The 24,772-nt window shown below is 42.9% G+C and overlaps 1 long non-coding RNA gene across 2 annotated transcripts, besides 2 other annotated features; it reads left to right on the top strand.

Moving 5' to 3' along the window:
• Positions 2,454 to 2,603: an enhancer, noted in NCBI's record as "active region_1281". NCBI's record gives its function as "activates an Ori minimal core promoter by ATAC-STARR-seq in GM12878 lymphoblastoid cells {active_cell/tissue: GM12878}" and the evidence as "EXISTENCE:reporter gene assay evidence [ECO:0000049][PMID:35858748]".
• Positions 10,457 to 14,845, top strand: LOC105378831 (uncharacterized). 2 transcript variants are annotated; one of them, XR_947561.2, is made up of 3 exons: positions 10,457 to 10,495; positions 13,357 to 13,554; positions 14,682 to 14,845. It is a non-coding gene; the product is annotated as an uncharacterized LOC105378831 (long non-coding RNA). The 2 variants fall into 2 exon arrangements; XR_947560.2 differs by having other exon boundaries at positions 10,463 to 10,568.
• Positions 21,713 to 22,304: an enhancer, noted in NCBI's record as "OCT4-NANOG-H3K27ac-H3K4me1 hESC enhancer chr1:87279745-87280336 (GRCh37/hg19 assembly coordinates)". NCBI's record gives its function as "activates a minimal SCP1, AML or CMV promoter by ChIP-STARR-seq in naive and primed H9 embryonic stem cells {active_cell/tissue: H9 hESC(naive and primed)}" and the evidence as "EXISTENCE:reporter gene assay evidence [ECO:0000049][PMID:30033119]".

Here is a 24,772-nt window from a genome sequence, read left to right as displayed (position 1 = left end):
AGAGGTTGACAATCTTCAGCTTCAAGGGTAGGCCCTAATTGGCCAAAGTGATTGGTTCAGTGATGAGCAGGTGACCCAATTTAGACCAATGAGAATCAGACCCAAGACTTGTGTTTGAATGTGGCAAAGATTGAGTTAGAACTCAGCTGCGAGAATTCTCTTTCTAATGGACTGCGAATGGAGCCAGCACAGAAGAAAGACATCCAATGATAGAGTGAGAAATTCGTTCCTAATGAAGACATTTCTGAAGCTGAAGTATTCCTTGAGTATTTCATCAATCAACCAATTATTACTTTAACCAATACATTCCCTTTGTTTGCTGTGCCAGTTTTGATAGGGATTTCTGTGTCTACTTTAAAATACGTTGCTCAGGACAGGCGCGGCAGCTCACGTGGGTAATCCCAGCAGTTTGGGAGGCCAAGGCAGGCAGATCACCTGAGGTTGGGAGTTCGAGACCAGCCTGACCAACATGGAGAAACCCCGTCTCTATTAAAAATACAAAATTAGCCGGGTGAGGTGGCACATGCCTGTAATCCTAGCTAACTCAGGAGGCTGAGGCAGGAGAATCACTTGAACCCAGGAGGCGGAGGTTGCGGTGAGCCGAGATTGCACAATTGTACTCCAGTCTGGGCAATAAGAGCAAAGCTCTGTCTCAAAAAAAAAAAAAAAAAAAGTTGCTCAAAGAGTTGAATCTGAAGATCTCAGAGGATCCTTACTACCAAGATATCTTTTTGATTGCATGACCCGCCTGGGTTGGACTTTGATGTAACTTGTGGACAGAATGAGGATGATGCTGGTGCAGATCCCTTCTAACCCTAGGAAGCATCTAGAGTGTGTTGCCATGGAAAGAGCATGGACTTCAAATACATAACGTATTTGTGCTTGCTCCTTAGTGGCATGGTCTTTGGGCAAGTCACTGAATATCCCCTCATATGTATAATGGTGGTGACAATAATTCTTATTTCATTGGTTGGGGAATATGTAAACTACATAGTATGTAAAGTTCCTGGCACACAATGGGTATTCCGTAAAAGTTCACTTTTTTTTGAGACAGAGTCTCGCTCTGTCGCCAGGCTGGAGTGCAATGGCGCAATCTTGGCTCACCGCAACCTCCAACTCCTTGGTTCAAGTGATTCTCCTGCCTCAGCCTCCTGAGTAACTGAGATTAGAGGCACACGCCACCATGCTCAGCTAATTTTTGTATTTTTAGTGGAGACAGGGTTTCACCATGTTGGCCAGGATGGTCTCAATCTTCTGACCTCGTTATCTGCCCACCTCGGCCTCCCAAAGTGCTGGGATTACAGGCGTGAGCCACTGCGCCCGGCCAATTCACTCTTTTTATTATGGAAGGCAGCCAAAGAGGAGCAAGGCTTTTGAATTAGAGAGACCGGGGTTCAAATTCTGACTGTACTCTGGCTAGCTATATGACCCTCAACTAGACAGATGGTTGTTACAGGAGGACAGGGACCATGTCTGTCCTTATTCCTACTGAATGCACAGTGTCCCTAATAGGCATTCGGTACATGTGTAAATTATTTAAATTTTCTGAGTCTGAAATTTTTAAATTGAGTTAATAAAATATATAGTAAAAGACTGTTGTAAGGAATAAATAATATAACATACATAAAACACTTAACTGAATGCCTGGGCCACAGTAAGTGTTCAGTAAATAATAATAATTGCAGGTAATTTTTATTAAGTACTGACCACATGCCAGTCACTATTCTAAACTCTCTAAAGCCTGGATGACAGAGTGAGACCCTGTTTCAAAAAAAAAATTATAAAAAACTCTGCATATATTGACTCATCTGATTTGCAAAATACTCTGTTCCCATTTTACAGGTAAATAAACTGAGGCTCTATTTTTATTATCATTGTCAGAAATACTTTTTTTTTTTTTTTTTTGAGATGGAGTCTTGCTCTGTCTCCCAGGCTGGAGTGCAGTGGCGTGACCTCGGCTCACTGCAAGCTCCGCCTCCCGGGTTCACGCCATTCTCCTGTCTCAGCCTCCCGAGTAGCTGGGACTACAGGCACTCGCCACCACGCCCAGTTAATTTTTTTTGTATTTTTAGTAGAGACGAGGTTTCACCGTGTTAGCCAGGATGGTCTCGATCTCCTGACCTTGTGATCCGCCCACCTCGGCCTCCCAAAGTGCTGGGATTACAGGCGTGAGCCACTGCGCCCGGCCTCAGAAATACTTGATGCCATTTTGGGCCCCATGACTCGTGAATCCAGCTCTTTCTGTTCTTAATGTTTGGGTCTCTCGACGCATCTAATTCAGGTTCCATTAAATGATGTCTTATCTTTTTCTTTTTTATATTACTAGGAAAAAGTAAGCGTTTCTTTCTTTAAAACACAATGAAGACATTTCTCTCAGTCCTCCTCTTTCCGCCATGATGTCCAGGGGGTGAGGTTGGGCCGTCAGAGGTTCTGTTGCCTGGCAGGAACCCTTTAATTCAAAGATGGCCAACAACTCAATGAGCCAGCCGGCCTTTGCTCTCTCCTGGCTGAGCTGAAGCAGCAACCAAGGGCCTCCCATCTCCAGGTCTCTCGCTCTTGTTCTTTCCCTGAGTTGCCTGCTGCCATCTGCTGGCCATATTAAGTTAAAATAATCATCACGTTGATGTTTTCCAAGTTTCTAAATGAGGCTCTGACTGCGCAGGGACTCAGGCAAAGCTGGCTCCAGCCTAATTTCCATTCAGGAACAAGGGCCTCACCGGTCAAATCAGAAACACTCTCAGGCCATTATCTCCATCCTACAAATGTGCTATCTTGTCCAGCCTCACGTTTCATACTCCCTGCCCATCTCCCACCAATCCTCTGACATCCTTTATCCATTAGGCTTGCGCAAGACTCGTATTACCATGACAATCATCCACTTAAAATTTTTTTTTGGAAACAGTTCTACACAGAAAAATTATAAGAATAGTACAAAGAATTCCCCTTGATCCGTCTCCCAGTATCAATTTAAATTTTTTCAGTTGCCTCAGCAGCTCCTTTGTAGCAAAGAATCAGTCCAGGGTCATACATTGCTCCAGTTGTCATTTTTTTTGTTTGTTTTTAGTATCTTTCAATCTGTAAATTGCCACCCTATCCTTGACCTTCATAACTTTGACATTTTAAAAAGTTACATGCCAGGCATTTTGTAAAATGTCTCTCAATTTGGGCTTGTCTGATGTTGTCTTATGCCTCAGTTTAGGCATTTTTTGGTTAAAATATAACAGATGCTGTGTCTTTTCATTACGCATTTTTTGGTTAAAATATAACAGATGCTGTGTCTTTTCATTGCATACAATAAGATTGTACTATCTTATCTGGTAGTACACCCTTATTGGACTGTTTCTGATGGTGTTAATTTTGGTTACTTTCACTAAGATAGTATCTGTCAAGATTTCTCCACTGTAAACTTACTTTTTTTCTTTTGTAATGGTGTTAGTCTCCTATTGTTTTTGCAACAAATTACCACAAACTTAGTGACTTAAAACAACACAATTTTAATAATCTTACAGTTCTGAAGGTCATAAGTCTGAAAGGAGTCCCACTGGGCTACAAGCAAGGTGTCAGCAGGGCTGCGTTCCTTCTGGAGGCTCTAGAAGAGAATCTGTTTCCTTGTTTCCTCCAGCTTCTATTCCTTGGCCCCTTCCTCCATCCTCAAAGCCAGCAGTGTTGCATCTTCAAATCTTTCTCAGACTCTGACTCCTGTTTTCATCATCTCATCTCCTTCTCTGATTCTGTTGCTACTGTCTTTCACTCACAAGGACCCCTGTGATTACATCAGACCCACCTGAACAACTTCCCCATCTCCAGATCATTAATTTACTCACACCTGCAAAGTCTCTCTTGTCCTGTTCACAGGTTCTGGGGATTTGAATGGAGACATCTTTGAGGGGCTATGATTCTGCTCCTCAGCAACTTTGAGACTGTGGAAATTCCTGTTACTTACCCCACTTTCACACGTAAGTTTTAGCATCCTTTGATGCTTCCTGCCTAATTGTTGCTATAATTATTACTGATGCCAAATGGTGATTTTCTAACTCTATAACTCCTTTTACATTTATTAGTAGGCTTTCTAATACACAAAGGAAGTTTCTCTCCTCCCCCTTTATGGAATAATTCATTTATTTATACCAATGTGGACTCATGGGTTTCTTATTTAGTTCAATAGATTATGCTTTATTACTACTGGCATTTTTTGATGTATGAATTGTTGCAGATTTGACCAGTGGGAGCCCCTTCAAGCTGCCTTTTGTGTCCTTTTAACATGTCCTCATCTTGCTTGAACACCTCCTTATTTTTGGCCATAAAAAGATAGATAGTCTAGACTCATCTTGTAATTTCCCTGCCCCAATCCTGGAATCAGCCATTTCTCCAAGGAGGCCTGGTTCCTTTTGGTGGAGAGAGGGGTTTGCAAACCAACATCTGGGTAGTAGGTGTACTCATTGCTCCCAGTTCCTTTCAGTTGACAGAGCTGGAAAATACATGCATGTATATGCACACACATTTACATCTCTATTTCTCTATTTGTACATATTGAAAACCAAGAACTTCAATACCTCCAATTTCAATTCAACACCCAAGGGTTTGTTCAAGTTTTCTTCTTTCCATATTTATGCTTCCCTTGTGAGAAATCTGGTTTAGATTAACCTTTGATATATTTACGTATGTGTCCAATCTTCCTGTGTGTAGCCTATCTTCTCTGTCTCTCTCTTTCTCTTTTTTTTTTTTTTTTTTTTTTTGAGACAGAGTCTCACTCTGTTGCTCAGGCTGGAGTGCAGTGGCATGATCTCAACTCACTGCAACCTCTGCCTCCTGGGTTCTAGCGATTCTCCTGCCTCAGCCTCCCAAGTAGCTGGGGACTACAGGTGCACACCACCATGCCTGGCTAATTTTTGTACTTTTTGGTGGAGACAGGTTTTCACCATGTTGGCCAGGCTGGTCTCAAACTCCTGATTTCAAGTGATCTGCCCGCCTCGACCTCCCGTGTTGGAATTATAGGCATGAACCACTGCGCCTGGCCTCTAGCTGATCTCTTTGGCCCTGCTGGACTACTGTTCCTTCTTATATAGGCTATCCCGGCTCAGGCCTGTCTCCTCCACTCTGCCTGCCTTGTTTGGGCCTACCTAATGGCTTTTTGAGGAATGAAGGAAGGGAGGAAGGGAGAGAGGGAGGGAGAAGGAGAAAGGGAGGCAATAGTTTTTTTCTAAGGGAAGGAAAGGAAAGAGATGATCATGTACTTCTGTAGTTTTTACTTTCTTTCTTTTTTTTTTCTTGAGACGGAGTCTTGCTCTGTCACTCAGCCTGGAGTGCAGTGGCATGATCTCGGCTCACTGCAACCTCCGCCTCCCAGGTTCAAGCAATTCTCCTGCCTCAGCCTCCTGAGAAGCTGGGACTACAAGCGCCCGCCACCATGTCCGGCTAATTTTTGTACTTTTAGTAGAGACGGGGCTTCACCATGTTGGCCAGGCTGGTCTCGAACTCTTGACCTCATGACCCGCCCACCTCGGCCTAGAATTCAAAGTGCTGGGATTCCAGGCATGAGCCACCACACCTGGCCTAGTTTTTACTTTCTTAGAGTTTTAGAGATGGGGTCTTGCTCTGTCACCCAGGCTGGGGTACCGTGGTGTGATCATAGCTCATTGCAGCCTCAAACTCCTGAGCTCAAGTGGTCCTTCCACCTCAGCCTCCCAAGCAGCTGGGATTACAGGAATGAGCCATTGCACTTGGCCAATCACATAGGTTTTTTTTGTTTTTTTTTTTTTTTTTTGAGATGGAGTCTTGCCCTGCCGCCCAGGCTGGAGTGCAATGGCACAATCTTGGCTCACTGCAACCTCCATCTCCCGTGTTCAAGCGATTCTCCTGCCTCAGCCTCCTGAGTAGCTGGGATTACAGGTGCGCACCACAATGCCCAGCTAATTTTTGTATTTTTGGTAGAGACAGCATTTCACGATGTTTGCCAGGATGGTCTCAATCTCCTGACCTCATGATCCGTCCACCTCGGCCTCCCAAAGCATTGGGATTACAGGCGTGAGGCATCACACCCAGCCCAGTCACGTATATTTTTAATGGACCTCTTACCACTATCGTAATAAATTCTTTGTTTGATGGTTATTTTCTCCACTAAAAGAAAAACTCCATGAAGGTAACAACCATGCCTGCTTTGCTCATTTATGGATTGAAACCCAGGGCCTAACACAATTGCTCTTTACGCCTAGCACATTGTAAGTACTTGAGGTTTTGGATAAATGATTAGGTTGTGTAAAACAGCAATAGCAAAATTACAACTATTGAACAGTTTATAACACAACAGACATAAACAATTACTAGTATTTACATAGTCCAAATAGTCTGTGAGCTTTCCAGACTAGAAACCAAACTATGACACCTTTTTATGTTCTCTAAGGCTGAGTGCCCTGGGGTAAAGAGATCTTACTTACTGAGCTTTTGTTGTTATTAAATATTTCTTTGGTTTTGGAGTTTCATATTGTTTAAAATAGATTTTTTTGAACTAAGAATTTCAATACCAAGCTGTATTTCAAGACAATTTCAAATATTACTGTCCTGTAGCATTTGGTAAAATTGATGTTGGCTAATGTCTTAGTCCACTCATGTTGCTATAACAAAAGATGCCCTAGACTGAGCCGTTTATAAACAGTAAAATGTATTGCTTACAGTTCTAGAGGCTAAGTCCACAATCAAGTTTCTAGCAGATATGCTGTCTGGTGAGGTTTCTCTGCTCCACAGTTTGTGCTTTCTATTAATAGTTGTGTCCTTACATGGCAGGAAGGACACACAAGCTCCCTCAGGCCTCTTTCACAAGGCACCAATCCCACTGGTGAGGACTCGCCCTCATGACCTAATCACCTCCCACATACCCCACCTCTTAATACTACCACACTGGGGACTAGGTTTCAACATACAAATTTGGGGAGGTCACAAGCATTCAGACCATAACAGTCACATAGGCAAGACAATGGTATGTTCCAGAGTTTCGTTGTGAGAAATCACTGTTATCATACTTAGCAGCGTGGCAACAAAATGGGCATATTCAGTTGCTTCCAGGCCTGTCCCATCACTCTCCTACAAATTTTTGTTAAATAGCTGTAATCATTTGCCCCCAACTTCTACCAGCAAATGTCAGAGCCAGTCTTTACACTACATGTGTTTCCCCTTTCCTCTCTCTTTTTCTCTCTTAGACACAAAGTCCTAATGCATTTGTGCTTTCCCCAAGTAAAAGGCGTCCGTTTCAGTGACTGATGGAAATAAACAGCTAGACTCTTTCAGAGGACACATTAGGAAGTAATGGAACGTGCCGAAACACAGCTTTCACAAGGGCTGAAAGTGATTGCTCAGCACAAAGGCTACAACTTCAGGCATAAAGAGCCATGCCTTTTTGCTTCTTGTCAAGGTTTTTTTTTTTTTTTTTTTTTTTTTGAGATGGAGTCTCGCTCTGTCGCCCAGGCTGGAGTGCAGTGGTGCAATCTTGGCTCACTGCAACCTCCACCTGCCAGGTTCAAGCAATTCTTCTGCCTCAGCCACCTGAGGAGCTGGGACTACAGGCACGCGCCACCACACCTGGCTAATTTTTGTATTTTTAGTAGAGATGGAGTTTCACCCTGTTGGCCAGGCTGGTCTCGAACTCCTGACTTTGTGATCTACCTGCCTCAGCCTCCCAAAGTGCTGGGATTACAAGTGTGAACCACCTCACCCGGCCTGTCAAGGTTTTTTTTAAAAAAATTAGTGACTCCATTTTTATTGTGATTACTTTCACACTGTCCCATCTGCAACTAGACTTCCTAATCCAATCGTTCTCAACCCTGACTGCCTTAGGAATGATCTAGAATCATTTCTTTAAAATACCAGTGCCCAGAAACTATGAGCAAAGATTCTGATCTCATTGGTTTAGGAGGGGCCCAGGCCTAAGTCCATTTTAAAGAGTCCTGATGATTCCTCTGTGCAGCCAGGGCCCACCCCACACCTCCCAACTCCCCCTTGATCCTTGTCCAGGTGTGTGAGAGTACAACCAAGAATACCCTGGAACCTGAGCTTTCCCTTGAGCCACACTGATTCTCAACCTGGGTACACATTAGAATCGTCTAGGGATCTTTCCAAATCCCAGTGCCAGGCTGCTTCCCAGATGAATTACGTCATACTCTCCAGGGGTGGAACCCAGGATCTGTATAAGTTCCTCAGGATATGAAAACAGGTAGCCAAGTTTGAGAGCTACTGAGCTAGCATGTTTCCATAGGGTCTTCTGAGACACTCAAACTACCAGTGGTAAAGGATGAGCTTTGGTTTTTTGTGTGTGTGTGTGTGTGTGTGTGTGTGTGTGGTCGTTATTGCTTTTAACTTTCAATCCTTTGTATTTTACAAAAATGTCAGTTAGCAAAGAAATAACTCACTAGAAAGATAAGATGAAAAAGCAGACACAACATACAAACCTAGATTTTTTATTAGATTCAAAGACACAAAATTGCTATTAAAATTTTCTAAACAGTCTCAATTTCTGTACTTACCTTGTCATAGACTATAATAGTTTGCACACTGAAGCTGGTCTTTGGGCTACACTTTAAGTAACACCATTCTGAGAAATACATTTACAAGGGATATAAATAGGTGTTGTGTGGTGGTGTGGGGGGATGGGGCTAAAATAGATTTGATAAATACAGCAAGTGATATCCTGTTTAGGACATCAAAGGCCCTAGGCTATTAATGACTCTGAGAAGTTCTGAGATAACAAAAACTGTTTAGCTTCATTTAATTCAGTGTTTCCCAATCTTATAGGATGGGGACACTTGCCTGACCCCAGCCCAGCAATACCATTAACACATTTATGAAGTATCTTAGTATGTTTGGGCTACTATGACAAAAATACTATAAACTAGGTGGCTTATAAACAACAGAAGTTTATTTCTCACAGTTCTGGAGGCTGGGAAGTCCAAAATCAAGGCTCTAGCAGATTTGGTGTCTGATGAGGGCCCACCTCTTTATCGATGGCACCTTCTCATTGTATTCTTACATGGTGGAAGGGGCCAGCAAGCTCCCTTGGGCCTCTTTTTATAAGGGCACTAATCCCATTCATGAAGACTCCACTCTCATGATCTAAACTCCTCCTAAAGATCCCACCTCTTAATAATGTCAGTCATTTTTGCATGGGGGATTACATTTCAACATATGAATTTTGGGGTAATACAAACTTTCAGAATATAGCATGAAGTGTAATCTGTTTAATGATTTATTCTCAGTCATATAAAGCATGCTGACTCACTAAAAAGAGAGATACATCTTTATCAAACTGTCCCCACATTGCCCTCTACCCAGCTGTGCCTCATTCATCTGTGGCTTGACTCTCAGTGACTGGCATTAGCAGCAACCCAGTGACCAAACTAGAGTTCTCCCTCTTTCTCATCCTGATATCCTGACAGTCACCTAGCCTGGCCAGTTCTTCCACTAAATGTGTCTGAGTCTGTTCACTCATGTCCACTGGTGCTACCTGGTTCAGGGACACCTAAACATCATGGTTTCTCTCTCAGGTAGTTGAAACATCTTTTTTACTGGTCTCCCTGTCTTTTGTGCCCAGCCTTCCTTTCTCTGCCCTTCACACCGGAACCAGAATGATTTTTCTAAAATTCAAATCTGATCATGTCACTCCCCTGTCCTTTGACTTCAGTGTCTTCACCCTGACAAAGAATGCTTATTAGGATCTGCCTCTGCCTACCCCTCCAGCCTCAACTTTCATCACTTCCCACTTAACTTTACTGAACTGTTAGCAGTCCCCTAAATACATGGGAGCTTCCTCCAGCTGTTCCCACCTCCCTCTCTGACCCTGTCCTCTCTGGCTAATTCAGCATTCAGGGTCAGTATAGAGGTCCCTTCCTTGAGAAGCTCTCCTTACCCACCCAGACTAGTGTTGTGTCCCTCTTCTGTGATCCCTCAGGACCACTCATCATACATACTGTGTTGTGATTGGCTGTTGACCCTATTTGAGGAATCATCTAGTTGAGCTCCTTCAGGACAGGGTTTGTGTTTTTTTGATTGTTCTAGCCTTAGCACCTGGCCCCCTGCCTAGCACAGACAAGATAATTCAGTACATGCTTGTTGGAGCCAGGCATGGTGGTACACACTTAAAAATCCCAGCTTCTCAGGACGCTGAGGTGGGAGGATTGCTTGGAGCCTAGGAGTTCAAGTCCAGCCTGGGCAACATAGTGAGACCCCAACCCCCATCTCAATTTAAAAAATTACATACTTGTTGAATTAAGTAATTAATTAATGAGCAAATGAATTGCATACCATTCTATTCCTGAACCACAGAGGCCCTGGAAGAGCTCTGACGAATGCACTTTAGTGTCTCAGAAAGTCCCCAGTCCCAGCCCCATACTTGTATTCCAAACGTCATCATCAATCACTAGTTACTTGAGGGTTCTGCATTATCCTTTTCCCAGAATTCTATCTCTACGCAGCTCCTTCAGCCTGACACCTCTTTTGGATCATCTGCCTGGTTTGTAATTTAGGTTTTGCTTTTTTGAAGCTGCCTCTCAGATCATTCTTAGAGCCATAGTTCACATCCCAAGGTATATCTGAGCTCTCCATTTCCCAACCTAAGATCAGCAATTTGGGTTCTCACTTTTCCTGGGAGGAGTTAGGGCATCTATTGCTGAGCCATTGCACCTATTTAACACATTCCTCCAGGCCAGGATGACCAGGCCAGTGTAGCAGACTCTCTGAGACTTTCAGAATCATAAATCTGCCAGGCTGGTTACTCTCTGTGCCTACTCTCCCTCCCTTCTCTGCCCTGCCCTGTGCAGCACGCTGACTTCCACATACTATGGTTTTCTGATGGATTTAACTAGCGAGATACCAGCAGTGATTAGTGGTCAGAGGAGAGACAAATCTGGAATATATTCCTTTGCTTTTGCCTGCTGGGCTAGGATTTTTGTAGTGCCTGAATTCCTCCATAACTACAGCTCTTGTGGGCTGGCTCTCTTCCAGGGCTCCAACTCTCACCAGCTTCTAGTAACACCATTCCCTACCCTTGTTCCTTTCAGGTGGGGATCAAGGGTGGCAATGGCTCCTTGCTGATGTGAATCCCTGGATGCTTCATGGTCTCCCTTAACCCTGTCCACACCTCTGTACATAATCTCTTGATTACACTCCTTTTAATTCACCCATTAAGTTCACCATCTGTGTCTTACTGCGACCCTGTCTGGTGAGATCCTCACCTAGTACAGTAGCTTCACTTCACAGCACAGAGGTTGAGCAAGTAGAACTGAGGTCTCCTGGACAAGTCCATGATCTTTTCCTCCCCACCATCATCACCTCACTTGTTCCAGAATCTAGAATAGAAATATTAAGCATATAATAATAATAATAATTAATAGCTATCATTTGAATTCTTAAAAAATATGCCACAAGTTGTGACAAGTGTTCTACATAAATGATTTCATTTAATTCTCACAGCAAGCCTGTGACACAATGCTGTGAGGCAGGTTTTATTTATTATTTTTATTTTTTAAATGAAAAACTTGAGTCTTAGAGAGATTAAGTAATTTGGCACAAGTCATGCAGCATAGAAATGGCAGAGCAGGGATTTTTGTCTGACTGCTTGACTCCAAAGCAGGTACTTTTATAACTAGTAGGTTATTTGCTCTTGGGATCACCCCATCACACTGACTTTTTTTTCTTTTCCCCCAAGACAGAGTCTCACTCTGTCACCCAGACTGGAGTGCGGTGGCATGATCTCAGCTCACTGCAACCTCCACCTCCCAGGTTCAAGTGATTCTTCTGCCTCAGCCTCCCGAGTAGCTGGGACTACAGGTGTGCACCACCATGTCTGGCTAATTTTTGTATTTTTAGTAGAGACAGGGTTTCACTATGTTGGCCAGGCTGGTCTTGAACTCCTGACCTCGTGATCTGCCCACCTCAGCCCCCCAAAGTGCTGGGATTACAGGCATGGGCCACTGCGCCCAGCCTTACACTGACTTTGAACTCACTGTCAGTGTAAACTCCATCAAATGATAGATGTGGTCTGGCTGTAGCCTGCTGGGAAATCAGGAAGACTGGAAAGCCAGCCTAGGAAACAGCACTGGAATAAGAAGCACTTGAACAAAGGAGCTGGCAGAGATTCAGAGTTTAAAAGGAGATGATGGCATGTTAGAAAAAGAAAGGGTGGAACAGGTTTCAGGTAGAAATGCTGCAGGTAATTTACATCATTCTCTCAAAAGTGACCACCCTCAGTGCCCATTAGGTTAAGTAACAAGAGCCCCCCGAGTTCCCAAAATGAAGTCAGTCTTGTTCTTCAATCTTAAACAGTGGGAGAGCAGATTTGGCCACTGTATCTGCTGGGAGCTATTGCAGGGTGTCTAGGGCAGAGTTAAAATAAACATCTGTTAATCCCTGCTATCTCCAGGTGAAGGAAAAGTAAACATGAGCCTTTGAATTAGGAAAGACCAAATATCTCTCTCCTACAATCCTCTGTTCTCACATAACCCAAAATGGATCACTTTATTTTGTCACTTATTTGTTCCCCAGTAAGAGTCAGAAAGCTGAGTTCTATACTTTTTTCGGCTTCCTTATATATGTCACTTGAAAACAATTGTTATTTTCTGCTATTTATAAAAATACATTTTTGTGGAAATTTAAAAAAATACAGAGAGAAAAAAATGAAAGAAAGATTAATTTCATCATCTACAGAAAACCATTGATTACATGTTGACATATAATATGGTTTTTAAACTGTGCTCCAGAGAACTTGGGATATGGAAGTGTCTGGCCCACACCCAAGAGAACACATGGACAGCGTTTCAGGTCCCCCTCTTGGATTACAGCAAAGCCGTTCTCTTTACTTTCCTCTGTGATTTTGGGTTCTGCAGAAGATTTTTAGCTGGTTTAAAAAGGCTTGAAAACTGCTTATCTGCATCTTCCTTTTGAATGGCTTCCTACTATGTAGCTAGTTGATAATTTGTTAAACCATCCATCCAAAATTGGACAAGCTCTATCTTCAGAGAGGTATCTGGGAGAGGACAACAAGAGGTAATCAGTGTGAGAAGGTTTTAAACACTCTCCCAATCAACCACCATGGCATTTATTTCACTAGAGTTGAATTCAAACCCTCCAGTTCCCAGACTCCTTCAAACTGTCAGCCTGAAATACCGCAATTTCCTTTTCCATCAAATATTTGAGTAAATTCACGTCCATGAAGAATAACCATTTGAGGAAAGAAAAATTATGACATTAACAAATATCTGTAATTTTTGCCCCTCACAATGAGTTCAGAACTGTGAATAAACCCTATGTTCCTTCCTAAAATGCTTTCCTAAGAAATACGGATAGTCGGGATTTTTTTTCTATTCTAAATTACAGAATGAAGTTCTTGGTGTCAGCAGTATTTCCACCATAGAATTAGCTGCAGATGAAGAAAATGGACACCGTGTGTTATAACCATGCTCTCAAGCCCACTTTATAATATGTTCCCTGGTGGGTGAAGTTATTATCAAGTACGGACCATCATGAGTACTTTTCAGTGGAGAACTATGACTTCAAAAGCACTATGTTGAAGAGGTATTGATTTTGGAAAACTATTAAATGTATGATGATGGAGCCATCACACCTGTGAGAAGCGGTGAATGTGCTCAACAGAAATTGCATGTCTAGAAGGAAGAGCACAGCTGGAGTCAGGGGAGGAGAAAGAGAAAGAGGAAGCCATGGTACCAGTCACGATGCTGTTGCCTTCCCTCTGCCGGACCACAGTGCCTGTTAGGAGGCTCGGGCTGCACATCCTATCAATGCCTACCCTTAAGGCTTAGACCCCTGCCTTCTGGGCCCATCCCCATTAAGAGCATTTTGTTTGCAGAAGGATAACTTTCAGATTTTTCCTTTTCTTTTTGGAAGTGACAATTTCCCAATTTATCACTCCAGTTTTAACAGTTTTGCCTCTACCCATAATTGCGCGGAGACATTTTAGAGATTTAATTCATTTTGCAATACTAAATAGTTCCCCTTTAATCATTCATGTCAGACACTATTCACATTTCTTAAAAATTTATAAGATGATTCTGATCTGTCAGAAAAAAAGCCTCTTTAAAATTCAGATTAACTTGCTGCTTGTTCTCCATGTTAATGTGTTTTCCATCAGTCACTGCTGTCACAAAACTATTTGTACAAGGCTTAATATGCAGAAAGTCGTTTTATAGTTTTACATGTGGGAAATGTTTTTCTACACTCCCCCAATCTTAAAAATGCTGTCTGTCAACCTCTTCTATTTGTTATGCTATCCTTTATCTTTGATCCTCCTTAGTCTCTTTCTTCTTAAGAGGCTGCTGACCACTGCTGTGGGAAATGAGGCAGCAGTATATCCAGTGGTTAAGAGCATGACTTTGGAATCAGACCTGGTCTGTGCCTCAGTGTGACCTCTTCCTAGCTATGTGACCTTGAGCAAGTCAAAATCATCTGAGCTTCAGTTTCCCCAACTACTAAATGGAGCAACAGTACTTACCCCTGAGGCAACATCAAGGTGAAGCCCCTAGGATGGCTGATACTAACTGCTTTTTAAGTTCTAGCTACACACACATACACATGCACACACACATACACACAGAGAATATATGTCATTGACATAGTGGCAAAACTACTGTTTGTCCATTATTTTCAGGGAAGAATGAGTTAAGAGCCATTTCTATTACTCCCAGGTACAACTGAAATAAAAGCTTAAAAGAAGATGGAGATTGGAGATGGAAGTTTATCTTCATCTATGGAACTGGAAATACACTAGCTTTGTAGAAATTATGGGTATTGAATAAAAATTTATCAAGACAACTAAATAATATGACATGAGTTACAAGATATCATTAGACATTTTTATGGACTGAGTGTTTGTATCCTCCCCAAATTTATATCTTAAAACCTAATCACTGGCTGGGCGTGGTGGCTCACGCCTGTAATCCCAGCACTTTGGGAGGCCAAAGTGGGTGGATCATGAGGTCAGGAGATCAAGACCATCCTGGCTAACATGGTGAAACCCCATCTCTACTAAAAATACAAAAAATTAGCTGGGCATGGTGGCACATGCCTGTAGTCCCAGCTACCCGGGAGGCTGAGGAGGGAGAATCGTTTGAACTTGGGAGGTGGAGGTTGCAGTGAGCCAAGATCGCACCACTGCACTCCAGCCTGGGCAACAGAGCAAGACTCCATCTTAAAAAACCAAAACATGGCCAGGTGCGGTGGCTCATGCCTGTAATCCCAGCACTTTGGGAGGCTGAGGCGGGTGGATCAAGAGTTCAGGAGTTCAAGACTAGCATGACCAACATGGGGAAACCCTGTCTCTACTAAAAAATACAAAAATTAGCCAGGTGTGGTGTCACGCGCCTGTAGTCCCAGCTACTCAGGAGGCTGAGGCAGGAGAATCTCTTGAACCCGGGAGGTGGAGGTTTCAGTGAGCTGAGATTGCACCATTGCATTCCAGCCTGGGCAACAGAGTGAGACTCTGTCTCAAAAAACAAAAACAAAACAAAACAAAACAAAACAAAAAAACCAAACCTAATCACCAGTGTGATAATATTAGGAGGCAGGGCTTTGGGAGGTAATTAGGTCATGAGGGTGAAACCCTCATGAGTGGGATCAGTGCCTTTCTAAGCAGAGATGCAAGAGCTTGGCTCCCACCTACTTCTGCCATGTGAGGATATGATGAGAAGGTGGCCATCTGCAAACCAGGAAGAGAGCCCCTTGATGCCAGTGACTTGATCTTAGACTTCCCAGCCTCCAGAACTGTGAGAAAAAAAGTTTGTTGTTTAAGCCACCCAGTGTATTCTGTTATAGTAGCCTGAACTGTCTAAAATAGACATTTTAAAAATTATTTATCATGCTCTTCCACTTATAAATACTCTTAGTTAATTTCTTTTTTTTTTATTATACTTTAAGTTTTAGGGTACATGTGCAGAACGTGCGGGTTTGTTACATATGTATACATGTGCCATGCTGGTGTGCTACACCCATTAACTGGTCATTTAACATTAGGTATATCTCCTAATGCTATCCCTCCCCCGCTCCACCCCATAACAAGCCCTGGTGTGTGATGTTCCCCTTCTTGTGTCCATGTGTTCTCATTGTTCAATTCCCACCTATGAGTAAGAATCTGCGGTGTTTGGTTTTTTGTCCTTGCGATAGTTTGCTGAGAATGATGGTTTCCAGGTTCATCCATGTCCCTACAAAGGACATGAACTCATCATTTTTTATGGCTGCATAGTATTCCATGGTGTATATGTGCCACATTTTCTTAATCCAGTCTATCATTGTTGGATGTTTGGGTTGGTTCCTAGTCTTTGCTCTTGTGAATAGTACCGCAATAAACATACGTGTGCATGTGTCTTTATAGCAGCATGATTTATAATCCTTTGGGTATATACCCAGTAATGGGATGGCTGCGTCAAATGGTACTTCTAGTTCTAGATCCCTGAGGAATCACCACACTGACTTCCACAATGGTCGAACTAGTTTACAGTCCCACCAACAGTGTAAAAGTGTTCCTATTTCTCCACATCCTCTCCAGCAGCTGTTGTTTCCTGACTTTTTAATGACCACCAGTCTAACTGGTGTGAGATGGTATCTCATTGTGGTTTTGATTTGCATTTCTGTGATGGCCAGTGATGATGAGCATTTTTCCATGTGTCTTTTGGCTGCATAAATGTCTTTTTTTGAGCAGTGTCTGTCCATATCCTTCACCCACTTATTGATGGGGTTGTTTGTTTTTTTCTTGTAAATTTGTTTGAGTTCTTTGTAGATTCTGGATATTAGCCCTTTGTCAGATGCGTAGATTGCAAAAATTTTCTCCCATTCTGTAGGTTGCCTGTTCACTCTGATGGTAGTTTCTTTTGCTATGCAGAAGCTCTTTAGTTTAATTAGATCCCATTTGTCAATTTTGGCTTTTGTTGCCATTGCTTTTGGTGTTTTAGACATGAAGTCCTTGCCCATGCCTATGTCCTGAATGGTATTGCCTAGGTTTTCTTCTAGGGTTTTTATGGTTTTAGGTCTAACATTTAAGTCTTTAACCCATTCTGAATTAATTTTTGTATAAAGTGTAAGGAAGGGATCCAGTTTCAGCTTTCTACATGTGGCTAGCCAGTTTTCCCAGCACCATTTATTAAATAGGGAATCCTTTCCCCATTGCTTGTTTTTCTCAGGTTTGTCAAAGATCAGATAGTTGTAGATATGTGGCTTTATCTCTGAGGACTCCGTTCTGTTCTGTTGGTCTATATCTCTGTTTTGGTACCAGTACCATGCTGTTTTGGTTACTGTAGCCTTGTAGTATAGTTTGAAGTCAGGTTGTGTGATGCCTCCAGCTTTGTTCTTTTGGCTTAGGATTGACTTAGCAATGTGGGCTCTTTTTTGGTTCCATATGAACTTTAAAGTAGTTTTTTCCAATTCTGTGAAGAAAGTCATTGGTAGCTTGATGGGGATGGCATTGAATCTATAAATTACCTTGGGCAGTATGGCCATTTTCACGATATTGATTCTTCCTACCCATGAGCATGGAATGTTCTTCCATTTGTTTGTATCCTCTTTTATTTTGTTGAGCAGTGGTTTGTAGTTCTCCTTGAAGAGGTCCTTCACATCCCTTGTAAGTTGGATTCCTAGGTATTTTATTCTCTTTGAAGCAATTGTGAATGGGAGTTCACTCATGATTTGGCTCTCTGTTTGTCTGTTATTGGTGTATAAGAATGCTTGTGATTTTTGCACATTGATTTTGTATCCTGAGACTTTGCTGAACTTGCTTATCAGCTTAAGGAGATTTTGGGCTGAGATGATGGGGTTTTCTAGATATACAATCATGTCATCTGCAAACAGGGACAATTTGACTTCCTCTTTTCCTAATTGAATACCCTTTATTTCCTTCTCCTGCCTGATTGCCCTGGCCAGAACTTCCAACACTGTGTTGAATAGGAGTGGTGAGAGAGGGCATCCCTGTCTTGTGCCAGTTTTCAAAGAGAGTGCTTCCAGTTTTTGCCCATTCAGTATGATATTGGCTGTGGGTTTGTCATAGATAGCTCTTATTATTTTGAGATACGTCCCATCAATACCTAATTTATTGAGAGTTTTTAGCATGAAAGGCTGTTGAATTTTGTCAAAGGCCTTTTCTGCATCTATTGAGATAATCATGTGATTGTTGTCGTTGGTTCTGTTCATATGCTGGATTACATTTATTGATTTGCATATGTTGAACCAGCCTTGCATCCCAGGGATGAAGCCTACTTGATCATGGTGGATAAGCTTTTTGATGTGCTGCTGGATTCGGTTTGCCAGTATTTTATTGAGGATTTTTGCATCGATGTTCATCAGGGATATTGGTCTAAAATTCTATTTTTTTATTGTGTCTCTGCCAGGCTTTGGTATCAGGATGATACTGGCCTCATCAAATGAGTTAGGGAGGATTCCCTGTTTTTCTATTGATTGGAATAGTTTCAGAAGGAATGGTACCAGCTCCTCCTTGTACCTCTGGTAGAATTCAGCTGTGAATCCATCTGGTATTTTTTTCGTTGGTAAGCTATTAATTATTGCCTCAATTTTTTTCGTTGAGACATCGCCTCACCCGGGAAGTGCAAGGGGTCAGGGAATTCCCTTTCCTAGTCAAGGAAAGGGGTGACAGATGGCACCTGGAAAATCAGGTCACTCCCACCCTAATACTGCGCTTTCCAATGGTCTTAGCAAATAGCATACCAGGAGATTACCCTCCAGCACCTGGCTCAGAGGGTCCTAAGCCCACAGAGCCTTGCTCATTGCTAGCACAGCAGTCTGAGATCAAACTGCAAGGCAGCAGTGAGGCTGGGGGAGGGGTGCCCGCCATTGCTGAGGCTTGAGTAGGTAAACAGAGCAATTAGGAAGCTCAAACTGGGTGGAGCCCACCACAGCTCAAGGAGGCCTGCCTGCCTGCCTCTGTAGACTCCACTCTGGGGGCAGGGCATAGCAAACAAAAGGCAGCAGAAACCTCTGCAGACTTTTTTAGCATGAAGGGCTGTTGAATTTTGTCAAAGGCCTTTTCTGCATCTGTTGAGATAATCATGTGGTTTTTGTCATTGGTAAGCTATTAATTATTGGACTTGTTTTCATTGGTAAGCTATTAATTATTGCCTGAATTTCAGAGCCTGTTATTGGTGTATTCAGAGATTCAACTTCTTCCTCGTTTAGTCTTCAGAGGCTGTATGTGCCCAGGAATTTATCCATTTCTTCTTGATTTTCTAGTTTATTTGCATAGAGGTGTTTATAGTATTCTCTAATGGTAATTTGTATTTCTGTGGGATCGGTGTTGATATCCCCTTTATCATTTTTTATTGCGTCTATTTGATTCTTCTCTCTTTTCTTCTTTATTAGTCTTGCTAGCAGTCTATCAATTTTGTTGATCCTTTCAAAAAACCAGTACCTGGATTCATTGATTTTTTGAAGAGTTTTTTGTGTCTCTATTTCCTTCAGTTCTGCTCTGATCTTAGTTATTTCTTGCCTTCTGCTAGCTTTTGAATGTGTTTGCTCTTGCTTCTCTAGTTCTTTTAGTTATGATGTTAGGGTGCCAATTTTAGATCTTTCCTGCTTCCTCTTGTGGGCATTTAGTGCTATAAATTTCCCTCTACACACTGCTTTGAATGTGTCCCAGAGATTCTGGTATGTTGTGTCTTTGTTCTCATTGGTTTCAAAGAACATCTTTATTTCTGCCTTCATTTTGTTATGTACCCAGTAGTCATTCAGGAGCAGGTTGTTCAGTTTCCATGTAGTTGAGCAGTTTTGAGTGAGTTTCTTAATCCTGAGTTCTAGTTTGATTGCACTGTGGTCTGAGAGACAGTTTGTTATAATTTCTGTTCTTTTACATTTGCTGAGGAGTGCTTTACTTCCAACTATGTGGTCAATTTTGGAATAGGTGTGGTGTGGTGCTGAAAAGAATGTATATTCTGTTGATTTGGGGTGGAGAGTTCTGTAGATGTCTATTAGGTCTGCTTGGTGCAGAGCTGAGTTCAATTCCTGGATATCCTTGTTAACTTTCTGTCTCGTTGATTTGTCTAATGTTGACAGTGGGGTGTTAAAGTCTCCCATTATTATTGTGTGGGAATCTAACTCTCTTTGTAGGTCTCTAAGGACTTGCTTTATGAATCTGGGTGTTCCTGTATTTGGTGCATATATATTTAGGATAGTTAGCTCTTCTTGCTGAATTGATCCCTTTACCATTATGTAATGGCCTTCTTTGTCTCTTTTGATCTTTGTTGGTTTAAAGTCTGTTTTATCAGAGACTAGGATTGCAACCCCTGCCTTTTTTTGTTTTCCATTTGCTTGGTAGATCTTCCTCCATCCCTTTATTTTGAGCCTATGTATGTCTCTGCACATGAGATGGGTTTCCTGAATACAGCACACTGATGGGTCTTGACTCTTCATCCAATTTTCCAGTCTGTGTCTTTTAATGGGAGCATTTAGCCCATTTACATTTAAGGTTAATATTGTTATGTGTGAATTTGATCCTGTCATTATGATGTTAGCTGGTTATTTTGCTCATTAGTTGATGCAGTTTCTTCCTAGCCTCGATGGTCTTTACAATTTGGCATGTTTTTGCAGTGGCTGGTACCGGTTGTTCCTTTCCATGTTTAGTGCTTCCTTCAGGAGCTCTTGTAGGGCAGGCCTGGTGGTGAAAAAATCTCTCAGCATTTGCTTGTCTGTAAAGTATTTTATTTCTCCTTCACTTATGAAGCTTAGTTTGGCTAGATATGACATTCTGGGTTGAAAATTCTTTTCTTTAAGAATGTTGAATATTGACCCCCACTCTCTTCTGGCTTGTAGAGTTTCTGCTGAGAGATCCGCTGTTAGTCTGATGGGCTTCCGTTTGTAGGTAACCTGACCTTTCTCTCTGGCTGCCCTTAACACTTTTTCCTTCATTTCAACTTTGGTGAATCTGACAATTATGTGTCTTGGAGTTGCTCTTCTAGAGGAGTATCTTTGTGGCGTTCTCTGTATTTCCTGAATTTGAATGTTGGCCTGCCTTGCTAGATTGGGGAAGTTCTCCTGGATAATATCCTGCAGAGTGTTTTCCAACTTAGTTCCATTCTCCCCGTCACTTTCAGGTACACCAATCAGATGTAGATTTGGTCTTTTCACATAGTCCCATATTTCTTGGAGGCTTTGTTCATTTCTTTTTATTCTTTTTTCTCTAAATTTCTCTTCTCACTTCATTTCATTCATTTGATCTTCCATCACTGATACTCTTTCTTCCAGTTGATCAAATCGGCTACTAAGGCTTGTGCATGTGTCACGTAGATCTCGTGCTGTGGTTTTCAGCTCCATCAGGTGCTTTAAGGACTTCTCAGCATTGGTTATTCTAGTTATCCATTTGTCTAATCTTTTTTCAAGGTTTTTAACTTCTTTGCCATGGGTTCGAAACTCCTCCTTTAGCTCGGAGAAGTGTGATCATCTGAAGCCTCCTTCTCTCAACTCATCAAAGTCATTCTCCATCCAGCTTTGTTCCATTGCTTGTGAGGAGCTGCATTCCTTTGGAGGAGGAGAGATGCTCTGATTTTTAGAATTTTCAGTTTTTCTGCTCTGTTTTTTCCCCCATCTTTGTTGTTTTGTCTACCTTTGGTCTTTGATGATGGTGACGTACAGACCGGGTTTTGGTGTGGATGTCCTTTTCTTTTGTTAGTTTTCCTTCTGACAGTCAGGACCCTCAGCTGCAAGTCTGTTGGAGTTTTCTGGAGGTCCACTCCAGACCCTGTTTGCCTGGGTATCAGCAGCGGAGGCTGCAGAACAGCGAATATTGGTGAACAGCAAATGTAGCTGCCTGATCATTCCTCTGGGGAGTACCCAGCTGTGTGAGGTGTCAGTCTGCCCCTACTGGGGGGTGCCTCCCAATTAGGCTACTTGGGGGTCAGGGACCCACTTGAGGAGGCAGTCTGTCCGTTCTCAGATCTCAAGCTGTGTGCTGGGAGAACCACTACTCTCTTCAAAGCTGTCAGGGACACTTAAGTCTGCAGAGGTTTCTGCTGCCTTTTGTTTGCTATGCCCTGCCCCCAGAGGTGGAGTCTACAGAGGCAGGCGGGCCTCCTTGAGCTGTGGTGGGCTCCACCCAGTTTGAGCTTCCTAATTGCTCTGTTTACCTACTCAAGCCTCAGCAATGGCGGGCACCCCTCCCCCAGCCTCACTGCTGCCTTGCAGTTTGATCTCAGACTGCTGTGCTAGCAATGAGCAAGGCTCTGTGGGCGTAGGACCCTCTGAGTCAGGTGCGCTGGAGGGTAATCTCCTAGTATGCCATTTGCTAAGACCATTGGAAAGCGCAGTATTAGGGTGGGAGTGACCTGATTTTCCAGGTGCCATCTGTTACCCCTTTCCTTGACTAGGAAAGGGAATTCCCTGACCCCTTGTGCTTCCCAGGTGAGGCAATGCCTCGCCCTGCTTCGGCTCATGCTCGGTGCACTGCCCCCACTGTCCTGCACCCGCTGTCTGACACTCCCCAGTGAGATGAACCTGGTACCTCAGTTGGAAATGCAGAAGTCATTCTTCTTCTGCGTCACTCACGCTGGTAGCTGTAGACTGGAGCTGTTCCTATTTGGCCATCTTGGCTAGAGTCCCCTCTACTCTTAGTTAATTTCAAATCAGATTTCAGATAGACATGGAAAACATGAAGTTAATAAGCAGTGAGCTGGTAAGGTGGTTTGTGCCTGTAATCCCAGCTAATTGGAAGGCTGAGGCAGGAGGACTGCTTGAAGCCAGGAGTTGGAGACCAGCCTGGGCAACAGAGAGACTTGTTTTTTTGTTTGTTTGTTTTTAAATTTTTAAATGGTTCTTTATTCATAAACCTGATGCAGGTTTACAAAATTAACTATAACATATCCAAATAAATCTGTGATGAAAAATAAAATCCAAAAAACAAAGCATGCCAAATGTGCAGCTATCAATCTCTTTGCCATCAGGATATTAAAGAATTCAATAATGTATTCAAGATTTAGCTTTAGGTTTAAGGAACTTTAATGCTTTAAAGAATTCTGCCTTGTTACTTGTTATGTGAGCAACCGGCAATCAGAACTTTATACAAATGTAACCAAGTGAACAAGAATACCAGAAATTAAAAAAATAAATAAATTAGCTGGGTGTGGTGGCGTGCACATGCAATCTTAGCTATTTGGGAGGCTGAGGTGGAAGGACTGCTTGAGCCCCGGGGAGTTTGAGGTTGCAGTGAGCTATGATCCCACCACTGCACTCCAGCCTGCACCGCAGAGTGTGACCCCGTCTCTAAAAAAAATTAAAAACTAAAAAGTACTGTTAAAAAATCAGTGACTATTACTCCAAACCTAACACATGCTGACAGGAATGTAACAAATACAAGATAATGCCTGCTGGTGTAGCAGAGAGGGGGCCCTGGAGGTTGGGTAAGGATCCTGGCTCTACACCTATTTGCTGTGGGGTCTTGGGTGAACAACTTGAACTTTCCTCATCTGTAAAATATGGGTAGGTGTAAGTATCTCACAGAAGTGGATGTAAAAGTACCTGCCCCCAGGCCTGGCCCATGGAGTGCTCAAAAATGTTAGCCCCTCCCTTCCAAGAGCGTACAGGTTTTGTGACGAGAAATATTAAAAGTAATTGCAAAAACTGCATTACTTTTTTTACCAACCTAATAATTAGAAAATGTAGTTCAGCTGCTAGGATGCTAAATGCAATGGAGGGCAAAGAGGGAGAAATGGGCACTTCCAGAACAATGAGTGAAGGCTCTGGGAGGGGGCGTCAAACACAGTAAAGTGGTGGTGATGGGAACAGTATCACCAATCCCCCCCCCAACCCCGACACACACACACAAAATCCAATTTTCTACCTTAAGTGAAGGAGGGCCTACGTTTGGGCACTAGGACTTCCTAAAGAGCATGACGTCATCCAGAACCCTGTCATTGTTTGCTTTAAGATGGAATGCTTTGGCTTGTGAATCCTAAGCAGCAGACTGACTGGTGCAAAATGCCTCAGTTTCCCCTTCCAAAAAGCCAATGAGCTGAATATGCTGAGGACCAAGAAGGAAGGCCCCATCTCGTTGCTTTCCACACTGTGAAAAGGGATGAGCCCTGCCTTCTGTTGCTCGGTGTTAGAACTGGCACCTCATTGGTTGGATGCAGTGGCTCACACCTGTAATCCCAGCATTTTGGGAGGCCGAGGCAGGTGGATCATGAGGTCAGGAGTTCGAGACCAGCCTGGCCAAGGTGGCGAAACCCCGTCTCTACTAAAAATACAAAAATTAGCTGGGCACCTGTAATCCCAGCTACTCGGGTGGCTGAGGCAGGAGAATCACTTGAATCTGGGAGGCGGAGGTTGCAGTGAGCTGAGGTCACACCACTGCACTCTAGCCTGGGCGACAGAGCAAGATTCCATCTCAAAAACAGACAAAAAGAACTAGCACCTCGTTCTTGCCTTCAACAGTTGTATTTCAGTTTTTAAAAAGCAAAAGATTGAGGGTGCTTCAAACAAAACACAACTCCTCTGCTGTCTCCTTTAGTCTGATAACTCCCATTCTCTCCTCTTCTTACCTGCTTTGGAACCCAAAATAAGTTCAGCTTCCAGCAACGGAATCTCATTGGCAAATCAATAGTGGCCCTGAGGCACCGCACACAGCTGCCCCCTCTCCTGGTGAACTTTGCTTTCCCTGCACTGCATGGCACTCTGAGGCTATGCTTTTACTTTTTCTCTTCTCTCCAACTGCAGCCAAGGAAACGCTCATGGGAGGAGAAACAATCCTGAGAAGCTAACTAGGGGCCAAATTGGGCTTTTGAATCTAAGCGGT

Source organism: Homo sapiens, chromosome 1 (genome assembly GCF_000001405.40).
Source record: "Homo sapiens chromosome 1, GRCh38.p14 Primary Assembly".
NCBI lineage: Eukaryota > Metazoa > Chordata > Mammalia > Primates > Hominidae > Homo > Homo sapiens.
This window is presented reverse-complemented; position numbering and strand designations above follow the sequence as displayed.